Source organism: Homo sapiens, chromosome 6 (genome assembly GCF_000001405.40).
Source record: "Homo sapiens chromosome 6, GRCh38.p14 Primary Assembly".
In the NCBI taxonomy this organism is placed as follows: domain Eukaryota; kingdom Metazoa; phylum Chordata; class Mammalia; order Primates; family Hominidae; genus Homo; species Homo sapiens.
The window spans coordinates 97,458,125-97,472,484 of NC_000006.12; the positions used below are offsets into that span (position 1 = coordinate 97,458,125).

General features: G+C 35.5%; 1 long non-coding RNA gene across 1 annotated transcript in view, besides 1 other annotated feature; it reads left to right on the forward strand.

Annotated features, from left to right (window-relative positions):
• Nucleotides 1–14,360, forward strand: part of LOC101927314 (uncharacterized) — a 403,332-nt gene that overhangs the window by 152,539 nt on the left and 236,433 nt on the right. The window lies entirely within an intron of this gene.
• Nucleotides 6,825–9,982: an enhancer, noted in NCBI's record as "VISTA enhancer hs1564". NCBI's record gives its function as "enhancer in: forebrain[6/7] | other[3/7]" and the evidence as "EXISTENCE:transgenic organism evidence [ECO:0001131][PMID:17130149]".

Below are 14,360 nucleotides of genomic sequence, written 5' to 3' on the forward strand. Positions count from 1 at the left end.
CTCTCCCACCACCTGCAAGCTTAAACCCTCCCCCTTTTAGAGGTAGTCCTCACTGAGGCATAAAGTGCTTGAACAGCCTCAGCTCTATCATATAATTGGGCTTTCAGTTACATCCATATCCCAGAGTTGGTGGCACACCTAGGACTGCTAGATTCTACACCTTGTGATTTCTCAAGATTTTTCCAAAAACAGAGCCGGGGGCCAGGAGGAGTATTTGTGTATAGTTTACCTCCATTTCTCTCATTTCTCCTAATCCCCAGAAAAAACCCTGAGTTGTAGCCTAACACACCCTATAATTTGTCTTAATCCAAACTTAACTTCCCAGAGTCACAATTCCTACTGAATGTTAAGCTGTAATTATTGAGGAACAAAGTTTGCACAGAATCAGGGGCTGCAGATGGTATGAAATGATTTCCTAATAGTACAGGATATTATGGCCATGCCCTCTCCTCTCTTTATTTGCTGGTAATAGCCTGATCCAGAGCAACTTTGGAAAGCAATGGATCTCATTAGGAATCTTGCTGAAAACAGAGCCCAAGAGATAATCCGCCATTCTCTTGATAAATAGGTACCATAGTTTCTGGTTATCTTTTATGATATTCCAATTAGCAGAGGGTTGGGGTAAGAATGAACAAATGATTGAATTGTGGGTCCTGATAAGTGTATATTATCTAGCATGACTGAGTGCCTTTTGTATGCCGGGAACTTTAACGAATGCTTTATGTACATTATCTTAATCTTTTATATACATATATATATATAAATATATATATATAAGCAAACTCATTGTATATATAGATGACAAAACTGAGACTTGAGGAGAATGTGTAGCTTCTCAAAAGCCATATAGCAATCAAAAGAGCTGAAATATGAACTCAGATTTTAGGGACTCAACTTCATTGTATTATAGACCAATCATTATTTGTCTTCCCATGTTTAAGGCATACTCTTCATTGGTCTATATGGTTTGTATCTACGTACAGTTTCTTACATACTCCCAAAGCAATGTATTGATAAAGAATTAGAGTCAATCAGGACACTATGCAACCTGAGATAAAGGGTTCCTTAGCAGTGGTGCCCTTGGGAACGCAGAAGATTAGGTGAGGTTATTTGAGACAAACCAGGATAAAGGCAACAGGATTTTATCATGGATGTTCCTCACATCTGTAGAAGTGTTCCTATTGGCTAGGAAGAAGCAATATTAGTAGGAGTCCTAATTAGGTGTTTGCAACCATTATTTCTACTAACTGTTAACTCTGAGCTATTAAGACCCCATTTGGGCACATCCTAATTTAGGGTGTAAAAGAAAATAACAGGGTGGGCTGGGCGAGGTGGCTCATGTGTGTGATACCAGCACTTTGGGAGACTGAGGCAGAGGATTGCTTGAGGCCAGGGGTTTGAGGCTATGGTAAGCTATGATGGTGCCACTGCACTTCAGCCTGGGTGACAGGGTGAGATCCCGTCTCTCTAATAAATAAATAAATAAATAAATAAAAAATAACAGGGCTGTCAGTGATATCATTTCCTAGGGTTAACATAAAGCATCTGTCACTCTTTGCCATTTTTGCATTTGGTTAAAGGAATACTATCACATCACGTGACACCCACTAAAGGGTCCCAGAACAATCATTTTGTGAAGTGTTGGGGCTACTGCAATATAATTGCCCAAAGAACTATACACTTTGTTTCTTTATTGACTCTTAATGTGCTGTTGCAGACAGTGAAGATAGTGGCATAGTGGCTCCAGGGGAAAGTTATAGAGTAATTTCTGGTGGAACGGAGATGTCATCAAAGACAGAAGAGACCTTTAGAAACAATGCCACTGGCTGTACTTTCAAAGCCATGTAATCTGGGAGTAGAGATCTCACAGGGTGGCAGTGCCAGTGCTATGCAACACTTAGGTCTGTGGACCCAGCTCATGCTTCTTTCTCAGTGTCTGTTTCATCATTTTAAAGACTTCTGATGTACCATGATTAGCTATCGGTCTTTTTCTCACCTCATCCCTTGAAAGAACATATTTTATTTTTCTTAGTACAACATAGCATAATTCCACTAAACAGTAGTCATCTGTAAGCCTGCCAAGCCAGATAATGTTTGGCTCTCTTTTCTAGCTCATTCCCCTGGAGAAAAAATATAGTGAAATCCCAGAAAAGGTTACAGAGGTATTCTGCTGTTTAACAGTATTGCTGCCTTTTAAGAAACAAAATGAAAACTATCCAAAGCCAAATATCCTTTGATAATATGGATGCATATCATCCCTTTCTAGACTAATGGATAACTATGTTCAATTTCTTTTTTCCATTTAAAATTTGAAAAGACAATATTTACCTGTCAAAATTTTGAAATTCCTTGATTGGAAAGAAAGGTTTCGTAGGAGATGTGGGGGATGGGGATTGTGACTTCCTCTTCTCAGGGTCCCACACAGTGCCTGGCATGTAGTAGGCTCAAGAGAGGTGAATCATACTGCCTGGATCATCCCTAGTGTGTTTCATGGTCACTTCCGCATGTCCATCGACACTTCCTTTTTCTACTGAATGAGATTTACACTGAGGCATATGCACATTTATATTTACCCTTCTTTCAGGGACAGTGCAGCTCCAAGTGCCCTCTGCACGTGTGATTAAATATTAATTAGGCTTCTAATATAAGCAAGTGAGTTCACAGGCCTGAGTGTCACATGAATAATTTATGAGGTACCCGAAGGTTCAGCCTGGAAAGCTGATTGGCCACCTTGGATTTGTATAATTACGAAGTTTCATTATTAACAGTGGAAGCGGTGCAGAGATTTGCCTAGCTTGAGGGACTTTGAAAGCATAAGCTGTCTCATTAGGGAAAAAGGGAATAAGGCAAAATATGCAAACTTGTTAGCAGAAAAGAAGGGGGGTGGATGAGATTTAAACTTAGCTTTCAAACATGACTATAGTATGTATGCTTTTAGAAATATGTAGTAAAATTGGTATTCTGATTGATAAGCATGTTTGCTTTAAATTTTTAGTATACTGAGAAATGCTTCAAAGGTTTTTTTTTAAATTGAAGGCCAAAATCTTTAATATTTTACTGATAAAGCCACAGGTAGCCTAATGGGCCCTGTGGAGTGAGAGGTTTGGAGGTAAAAGAATGAAGACAGTCCAGGGCTCTTGCTAGAATGTGTGTTGTGCATGCAATTAAATCTCAAGGTCAAACAATTTACAGACAATTACTTTTCTAACATCTCCAGAAATGCCTGCTTACACGTCTTTAATTTTAAATGATACTGATATTCCAATTCTCCCCAAAGGTTAATGCTGACTAAATCCAGCTGTGACCTGACACGATGCGACAGCACAGTGCCTAATTATCCTCTGGATAGTCATTTACTTGAAACCATTAAAGGAATAGGCTGAGAGGAAGATTTAGGACCCTGAAAAAATGTTAGCCTGACTTCTTTCTTCTTGAAGATGGGATGGGCTGAAAAATAAAAATAAAATCCTGCTAAATGTTAGCCATTTGCTTTGATGGCAGAAAATTGTTCATCCCACTCTGTTTTTTTACAGGTTAAATTGCTAACTAGTTCATTTTATCCATTGCCTACGGCTGGCGCTAAATGTCAGTGACAAATTTTGTACTTGTCTTGAAGAATGAATTAAGTTATGCACAAAAGCTATAGTGCTCTTTTAAGATGAGTGAATTGCAGAGGGAAAAAAGTTGCTCTTTTGAGAAAGGATTATTTTGATTAAAGGCCTTTTCTATAGTAGCGGAAGACAGGTAGTGGTTTAAGATAATTCCGACAGTTACCTCCCACAGAGGCTGCAGTCCTTTGCTAGAAATTTTCCTAAGAGCAATTGTGTCAGATTATATACTATGATTATTATCATAAGACCATTAGTGACAGTGAAATAAATTACTAAAAAAAATTAAAAAACCCTAGTTTTTATTAACAAGAGTAAAAATCATTGTTTTCTGTTGTAGGGGTTAGCATTCCATCACTTTGTTACATAAACCTTTCACAGTGAGTTGCAATGGAAATTAAAGAGAGACATAATATGCTTGCCAAAATGTTGCGAAAATGAAACCTTAGGTCCTTAGGTAACTTGTAATAGAAAAATTTGACAACAGCTGCTAGAGACCTTCATCTCTCTTGTTTTTAGTTTCTTGGCAGTTGAGTCTTGACTCATCGCCTCGTAATAAAAACTATCTAGCAACAGTTATTGACATCCCATTGTAAGCTAGTTTACTATCACTAGCTTATATAAAATGAGATTTGCATCAGTTCTATTTCTGGTTTTCATTTTGGAATATTTTTGCTTATTTGATATACAAAGTTTAATAGGAGTAATTTTGTCATAGTACTGAATTATTCCAACTAAATTTTAGCACTCTTGATAAATAAAATGAGTAGACTAAAAATGCAATTTTAAAAAATTATAGTGCTAATATGAACATACCGAAGTATTGAGTACCTGAAGGGAGATTTCACCTCTGATTCAAATAGATGGGTTTTGTTTGAGTGGGGACAGGATTTTCTTTGATGAACTCCAAGAATGTGACTGACTACAAATAGTTTATAATTTCTATTCTGTTAGTCCAAGATGTTTACTTGAAGGAGCAAAAATATGCTGATGGTTTCTAGGTGAAGTGATAATACAAGGTTATTTAGTTAGAATTTTCCTTGCATCATAAGAGACAAGTATAACCAAGCTTTGTTAATTGATGCCATTTCATACTGTGAAATTATTATAGGGAATTTGATTTTAAAGAAAACTATAGTGATTAGTTTTAAAACCCTAGTTAAATAATTACTTACTTGGGATCGGCTCTTTTAAATTAAATTAATGAAATGAGTTGTCAAATCAGCTCTCACTAAAGTGATAGATAAATATAGGTATTTGAACTTCTGTCAAGACCTAGTATTCAGTCTTGGCAAGAAATGGCTTTTGTGATTGAATGGTTTCCTCTTTTACTCCTCGGTCCCCCACCCCTTTTCTAACTACTGCGATCCTGTTCTATAATTATGAGTAGTGTGAATGGCCTCTCAGTTGGAGTTGCCATTATCTTCATCCTTCCCAGCAAGAGTTTCAGTCTGATGATGTAGAACAAGATTTTGAGGAAACAGCCTAGGCTTCAGTATTAGGGAAAAGTGGTCTCCCAGAATGTTGTTTAGGATGTTTTTTTCTTGGTGTACATATATGTGTGTCTGTAGTGCAGTGTGCTGTGATGTAGTGTGGTATGCAGAGGGAAGTGCCAGCTGCATTTAAATAGAATTTTATCTACAAAATGGTTTCTTATGTATTCCTGCGTTTGGGCTCACACCATCTCTTTGGATAATTCTGCAGGGGCCAGATGCTCTAACTATCACGGGGGGGTGTATGTACACATTTTGCATGACTGATGTGTCAGGAAATTGGACAATAGATGATGGAAATCATGTGGCTGGTTAATTTACCTCATTGGATTGGAGTTCACTAACTTCATGAATTTGGTGCTGATTTTACCTGATTTTCTTCTCTTCCTTTTGTATTTTATGGTTTATATAATTAGCACATTAAACTTATAGGCTTAAAGAAAACATAATTTAGTTTTCAGTAAATAACTATGTTTAGTGATGCGTGTTTTTCTAGGTAGGTTTTGTCTTCAAATTGTTCCCACTGTGACTTGTTGGCATTAATAAATCTACTGGAAGAGTCAGAGGGATGAACAGGGAACACTATTTTCCCCAATGAAAATAATCTCTGGTATCTCCGTATTTGTGGCTGAGAATGTAGACCTACTACTAGACAGTGTTCAATATTGCAAGAGGTGTGTAGTGAAGCCTAGAATATATTTTGGCATTTTGCTTCCCCATGCAGCTTCTTGTATAATCAATCCCACTGTGTTTACAGGTGAAATCTTACTATGTTTGTTTAAAAAAGAAAATAGTGGAATTGGTTGGAATGTGTAAACTTGAAGAGTAAAGTCCTCTGCCATAATGCACACTGAGAGCCAAAGTATTTTAATTTGTGTGTAAATTGGACATATACTAGCAACATATCTTTTTGTGCTTTAGCTGTGAATTGTGTCCACTTATCTATTGTCATCAGTCAACATTTCTAGAAGAGTGCTTTTTAAACTTGCAGTTAATATTCAACACAGGTAATAACAAATATCCATTCAAAAAATAATTTTACCATTTCAATTTATTTGTTAGGGACTGTAAATCATAAATTGACTTCCAATATGATTTAGTCCACATAATCATTTCTATTAAAACATAAAGTTTATCCATGTAGATTAACATTATTGAGCATTTTTGTTTCCATTTTTTAATGGTGATATTGCTGTCCTGCACCTAACATTCCATGAAGTCACATGTGTAGCAATTGTAAGTTCAACAGAAGGAATGGAGTATCCATAGAAGATTGAGTGTTAATAGGACATTTTATATTTGATTCTACCTTTGTTTCCAAAGTTCTTCATATAATTGAAGTCTCCTTTAACCCCCTCTACTTTTCAGAGAGGCCTCTCTCCTTTACTGCTCAGACTATTATTTCAATAATTTAATTTTGATTTTATATTGCTAAATATTGCATTAAACATTCTCTTTTGAGAACTATGTACTGTATTTGACATTCCACTTGAAAAATCTTAAATTCATTTTCTGTCTCTGTTGCTTATTTTTAAACCCACTAAATTTAAACTGTCCCGTTTCTCTCCCCCCTCCCTGGGTGTTCAGACCACAAAGTTTTTTTTATGTGATATAGGGCACATAGAGGATGAGTCAAAAAATATTTAAAAATGGCCTCACTTATGTAACCATAATATAGATCTTAACTTCTTAGCAAATGCATAAATTATCACTATGTTTTCCCACAGCCTTGGACTTCCCAATTGCCACATGTAGTAGTTGTGGGATACTATTAACCAAAATGAAATAATCAAATGAAATTAATACATTTTCCTACCTAAAAGCTCACCAGCTTATTTACTTGTTTCTAGCTCAGAAGGCCAGAGCATGCCATCTAAAAACTTGGACAACATGAACTTGGACCCAAGTTTGTCCAACTTAGATCTCCTCTCTGTCTAACTTAGATACCCTCTTTTCCCTTGAATATGTCTCTCACTATTTTGGCAAAAGCTATGGTCCTTCTGAATCAGAGTCATGCAGTTTATTAGGGACAGCTAGCTGAGAAACCACAAATAAATATAGATCTTTTATATCCACTTAACATTTATTTTATTATTTCTCTGTGGGAAATTGGAAATAACTTGGAGTGTAGATGTATTGCTTCAAGCAGATCCAATGGATGAAACGGTTTGCTTTGGAGAACAAGCAAGTTACTGGTGATTTGCTTTATAGTACTAAGGATAATAACTATAGCAATTATACTTTTTTGAGCACTTACTGTATGTAACTCTTATTTAATCCTCACATTTACTCTGCAAGGCAGTTATAAACTGTATTTTACAGGTGAAAAAACTGATGTTCAGTATTGTACAATATGAATTAAATAAGTGAATCTATCACATCACTGACATTATTTTCTTGCTTTCCTCTGTGTTTGAATAGAAATACTCTGTAACTGAAAAAAAGAATAAGTTATTTGGAGTGAAAGTTTATGCAAATATTTTTTCTCATGGGATTCAAGTTATGGCTCTGGCTTTTTGCTTCCATCTCTACCCCCTTGAAATATTTTGCTATTCATATTGGAATAGGCATTTGTCTATCAGACATTTGTGATCTCCCAATCAAATAAGATCACTGAGAACTTGCAGAAATATTATTTAGTGTCATGATTTTACTTGGCATACATGACTTAGAAATAGTTGAAATATATATATTTTTAAAGGAAATCATACCTTAGTAAGTACAAGAGAAAATTCAGATTAACTTCATTTTGCATGTTGTCTTTTAAACGCTTCCTGGGATCTGATTTATGCTGACACTGTGGGCACTATATAAACAGTATGTTGCAGTGCTTCTCTCCTTGTGCCCCCACTTCCCTCTCCATCCCAGTAAATCCTTTGAAGGTTTTATTATTCAGGGGTGGGAAGATTGGAGTGAAAGCTACAGAATGATTTAACACTGTGGGAACTTAATCAATAAGAGTGTTGCCGAGAGCTCCCAGGAAAGGGTGTTGTTTTCCATCCAGATGATAATGAGGCCGAGTAGCAGCAACCTCTGGAGGAGGAGTGCTGGGGCAGCGATTCTTTGGTAGTGCTTTTGCTGGTTGCTAATTAATAGTTTTGAGGCCAGTGGGGCACCTTTTGGCCTCTCTGACATTTGCAAGCTTTTCTGTGGCTTGTCCCACATGTCTTTCCACCATCAGGGGTCACTCTCAACTGGATTGGAGTCTGACAAGTCTAATTGGCTCGAATCTATGCAGATTTAAACATCTAGCCCACATGCCAAAAATCTGATGTTTTCTCATGCTGCTTCTGAGTTCCTGGCATTATAGGATCGGTGCATGCCTGAATTATTATGTACCAGCTTATCCTTCTGTTAGCATGTTAAAGAGCAATTAACTGGATGTGGTGTAAGAAATAGGGGAAAGAACTTCAATGCAGTTCAGTTGTAAATGCCTTTTATACTTAAAAAAAACTGTCAGACCATTGAGCATTACTGGTTGGAAAGCAGATTGAATCGTATAGTCAAAATTTTTAAAGGGTGAATAATTTTTTGAGAGTTGGTTTAAAAAAAAATCCTTGCTGGGCAAACATACAACGGTAGTATAATATAAATCACCCAAACATTCTTGATTTACTTACGTTGTCCCACTTCCTTTCCCAGATCTTACACTTCTCTCTCAAACTCTCAACTTTTATTTTTCCAAAATTTCAACTTCCTTATAACTGGTGAGTGGTCAGCCAACTTGCTAGATGAGTTTTCTTGTAGAGTATGTCTTTTTCATCACTGCCACTTTATAGGATTCTGAGTTAATGGCAGAATGCTGAGCTGGATGCACTCATAGTCCACACAAGACATTTGGATAAGATAATAAATTTCCAGTTTTCTTGTAAATAATTTATTTTAATTGACCATTATGACATATACAAAATAACATAATAGATATGCTGATATATTGCTTTGCAATTTCTAATGCATTTTGCCATGTTTAATCTTCACAATAATCTTGAGAAGACAATAAAGCCAGATGGGTTAATATTATTAAATTTCTAAATAAATATATTGATTTACAGAAAAATTAGATGGCATGCACAGTGTGCCTGTGCTATTGAGAGGCGGAGTTGGATTTTGATTACAAGCCACTTTTTCACCATAACATATATGAAAATAATTTGTTCAGTTGATTAGTTCATAAAAATCTTTTATAACTATGGCTAATTTTTAAAAATGTGTTGGCATAGTCTTAAACTATCCAAGGAGTTTTTGAAATATAGCAATAAAGTGATGAGTAAATTTATCTATGTGTGACTTAACAATTTTAATACCAAACTACTCTAGAGACTGAGAATGCATTTGATTTTCATTTTCTGAGAAATCTGTGTCATCGATAATTCACCTGAAGACATCAACCTTGCCATACAACATGTGGGAAATATTAAATTAATCCTTAAAAGTCTTACTTTTTAATAAAATGTTGACATACGAAAGTATGTTTAATGCAAATAATAACTGAAAATATCAGTTAAATGCTATTCTTAGCTTTTGTCTCAAACACTTGAGAAATCTGGTAAATAAAATCTTTAATTTTTTTCCTATTTTTTTCCTCAGAGAATGCTCTCCTTTTGTTTTTTTTTTTTTTTTTTGACAATTCTTTTGTGTCTCAAAGTTTCTGAGGTCTGAAAATCCCTCTTTCCGTATCCTCACAACTTATATTGTAGTTGCAGTGTTGGAAAAATATTACAAGTTAAAAAGAAGAGTGTGTGTGTGTGTGTGTGTGTGTGTGTGTGTGTGATGCATGGATGTGTAGCATGTGTGGTTTCAAAATAATTTAGAATTTTCTAGCCTTCAGTATAATTGATTACATGGAATATAGTGAAATGCATTTGTCTCTTGCTATTGGCGTCTATTTGTGTAGTATTAGATACCCTTTGAGTGAAAAAGATGGACATTTAAAGATCAAACTGGTAGAGAGCTTTGATATCATTAGTTCAGCTTCTCATTATACATTATTTTATTTATTTGTTTTTCTGTTTTTTTTTCCCCAAAGCAAATAATTTTGGGCCCATTAGTATAAGAAGAAATAAAAGGGCTTTATATATCACCTATGGAAATATTTTGATGTGATTTTCTATTAGGAAGTGAATAAATATTAATTTTAGCAAATTTTAACATACGGTCAAGCAATTTCAATGAGCAAGATCCTAATTTTACCATTCTAGATAAGATGAAATTGGACTAACAGTTTGATTATTTATCTATTTATTTATTCATTTTAGAGACAGGGGATCGCTCTGTCACACAGGCTGAAGTGCAATGGCGTGATCTCGGCTCACTGCGACCTCCGCCTCTTGGTTCAAGCAATTCTCCTGCCTCAGCCTCCCAAGTAGCTGGGATTACAGGCATGTGCCACCATGCCCGGCTAACTTTTGTATTTTTAGTAGAGACTGTGTTTCACCATGTTGGCCAAGCTGGTCTCAAGCTCCTGCCCTCAAGTGATCCACATGCTTCAGCCTCCCAAAGTGCTGGGATTACAGACATGAGCTACTGCACCCAGCCTTCACTTTGAAATCATACAAAATATATAACTTGAATGAATACCTTCTGTTCCATTTGTGTAAACATTCTGTAATGGAATTAAATACCATCAGATCTGAGTTTCTAGTTTGAATTTGCCACTAACAAACTGTGTGATTTAGATCAAATTATTTACCTCCCTGTAAATCAAATTTCTCAATAGCAAAATAGGAAAAACACATACCTTTTATATAAAATAATAGTGACTCACCAGAACTTGCTAGTGTTTTTATAAAATAAGCAGAGAAGCTTTACTATTATCAGACCAAAAATTTTATTTTAAGGTGGTATCATACACTTTAAGATACATAATATGGCCTGGCTCACACAGACCTTGATTCAAATCCTGACTCAGCACTTTTACCAAATATGATTGTTTGGGGAATTATGTCAGGTTGTGGACTCCCTGCCTCCCTTTCTTCCTTCCTTCCTTCCTTCCTTCCTTCCTTCCTTCCTTCCTTCCTTCCTTCCTTCTTTCCTTCCCTCCTTTTTTCTTTCTTTGTTTTGGTTTCCATCTGAAAATAAAAGGGAAAGAACATGCTCTTTATCTCTTTGGCACAGATTTGCTAAATGATAGGCCCTCAATAGATGTTAGTTTCTCCTTTCCAGTTTTATGAATATAATTGGACAACAAAGCTTAGAGTAATATAAATGTGGCTTACCACTGTTATTATATAATAATGATAAAATATTATGTTTCATCTGATTTGCTCATTTACTTAAATCACTATGTTTAAATTTTCTTGATGTTTAGAAAGGATAAAAAATTAAAAATGACACTGAATTATAGATATATCTTGTTTCAGTGAAGGGGATGGAGAAAAGTTAGGAAAGATACAAGCTACTTGAGCCAAATGTGATATGGTTTTGGTGGGCTTCAATTGTGGAGGAAGGGACCAGAGTAGAAGTCTTGTCAACTGTCTGGAAATTAAGGAGAAAGAACCTAGGCAGACGAACAAGCTAAGATGGTGAAGGGCAGGGAGGGATGTAATTTGGGGTCTAGATATAGCCTTTGGCTTTAACCATGTCTAATTTGGAGTAAAGACCAGTTTTGAGTAGGAAATGTGGGTAGGGGTGGGTTTGTAATAGAATGGTTTGGGAGGAGTGGTAGGCAGTGTTAGGAAACTTTTAGTATGGGTTTCAAGCTCGATGCTATCATGGGTCCCAAGACTGGTTGAAATCATTGGCACATCTGCCTTGTTATGAGTTAGAGAAGAAACGTGGGTGAACTACATCAAGAGCTGATGTCTTGGTTTGTTTCTTTTTGTCAAATTCATTATTTAATGGTAATTTACACCATGTCCTACTTAGCAGTTGAGTATATGACATTTTTTCATTTTCACTGGGACACAAATGAGTAGGTAATCTCTCAGAATTGTGTACAGGTAGAGGACTAGAGCTCTATATCAAGCAAGCTTTATTCACTAGTTTCCTCTGGAATCTAACTAAAGGTAATAAATGGTTAAGCAATTATTTAAAAAAATTTATGTCTATTTTCCTCTGAAAATTCTACAAAGGACATGCTTGTAAATGCATCTGGAATGTCTACTTATTGTACGTTAAAAACTTTTCTTTTTTGTTACTGGGTTAGAAGGATCAATCTCTCAAGCCCACAATCAATTGTGACTACATCCATAAAACTAACAGTGGATGTACATTTTCAAAATTGAAAGTCATTATAAAACAATGTAGGCCACTGTAAATCATAGCTAAAAACAGTCATAATGGAAGTCTTTTATCTATGTCTGATCCACTAACATGCAGTTATTCTGAGAACTAATAACTTCTTCTTGGAGATAGGGCCCCAAATTCAATTTTATAGCTCACAGTCCCAGTAAATAGAAAAAGTCTGCCAAACCTGCATTTATAAATCTTAGTGATTTCATGTTTTTACCGTATGTATTAGACTAGAAAAATGAGAAGTGAGGTTTGATGAGTTTTCTTACTTGGCCAATAAACTCTGCTATGTCTGTATGGAAAGTTTTATTATTAATTTTTATATTATTTCAGAGCTATATAACTAGCATTAATTATTTTAATAAAATTCAAGAGTACTTGGGAGAAATATTTGCTCCTCTTTCAAATAATAATTCAGCCTCAACTGTTTGAATAGGCCATCAATCCTCATTTTCTACTCATTGAGCAGCTGGGCTACAATAATCGACTCCCACCACAGTGTTATTAGAAGGGAGTACACTGCTCACTTCCTGGCAATGGACCTCTTTGATGCTTCCTAGTTCCAAAGGAGAAATTTACTAAATAAAGCACCAGTGCTCTGGGAAAAGAAAAACTTAAAGGACCAATCTGCTTCTTTCACACTGAGAAACTGATGTCTTGTGAAGGGATTCAGATCCCAATGTTGATATTAGCTTTTAACATTATTTGGTAATATTTTCATAAAGCGATTTTATTTTTGTTTAGATATTTTTATTTTTATTGAATTTGTTATTTAAAAGTTAAATACTTTCATGAATCAGAGATTTTTATCCACACAAAAGAACCTGACTGGCTAATTTAAGACAGAATAGAAATTTGCTAAAAGGATATTTGATATTATATAATATTAAACAGATATTAAAAGGAATCTCTGGAAAGACTAGAGACCCAGGCTTGTGGGCTCTGTAGACTGGAACAAATCCTAAAACTATTTCTCAGAACAATCTGTTGGACACAGATATGACACCTTGTACCCCTGACAGTACTTACCCTGGACTCTGCTTACTTCTAATAGAATTTGCTGTCCCTGGAGTCTGGTTGTATCTGCTGCTATACTGGCCCTATCCTTGCTAGAATAGATTCTACATGGCCATTTCAGGAGGGTGGTGCCCTGGTGCTTGTCTCTGCTGAACGTCTTGCCATCCTAGAGATTAACCCAGAGGTTTAAACAATGAAAACTAAACAAAACCCACAGTGGTTTATCTAGTGGAGTTGTGAACTTCTATTCATGGAATTGCTCAAGTAGAGAATAGGTGAGCACTAGGGATATTTTAAAGGGGATTCCTTCATTGGTTGGGGTTTGTACAAGATAATGTTTAAGGTTCTGTAGAATTTTTAGTTTAAATCTGAGAAAAGTTTTAGGATATATTTATTCTCCCATTCGTTCATTTCTGTACTTTCTTCTTCATCTATTCATCTGCAAGGGCATCTGTTGCAATCTTACTCTGTGCATGTCCCTTTATAGATGCTGCTATAGGTGAATTAAAGGAGGATGATGTAGGTTTATGCATCAGTTTTATACTCCAAATAATAACTACTTCTGAATTACGAAACCCAGAAATAAAGACAAACTATTGTGGATGTTATGGGCTTCCAGTTTAACACATTGGGTTGAAAACAATTTGTGAAACCCAATTAAAATAACAAAAGTTTAATAAATATATAAACACATGGAATGGAAGAGGAGAGAAAAGTAGATAAAAGATGTTTCCAAGTTTGGAAGATAGAAAACATATGTAAAAGTGGTACCTAACTTGATGCAGCAAGATACGTGAGCTGGTTGGCTTTATAGTCCTTTGGAAAATTTCAGGAATTGTAGGTACCAGATAATTCTGCTATGTTTAAAGAATATTACATTCTGTAAACGTTAATGTTGAGTATTTAGGCTTTAGATTTGAGGAAAATGGAAATAAGTGACATAAATACTTTTATTTGAAAGTTAGACTCAGAGGGTGAGAAAGACTATACAAGATAAGGGAAAAGAGCGTCA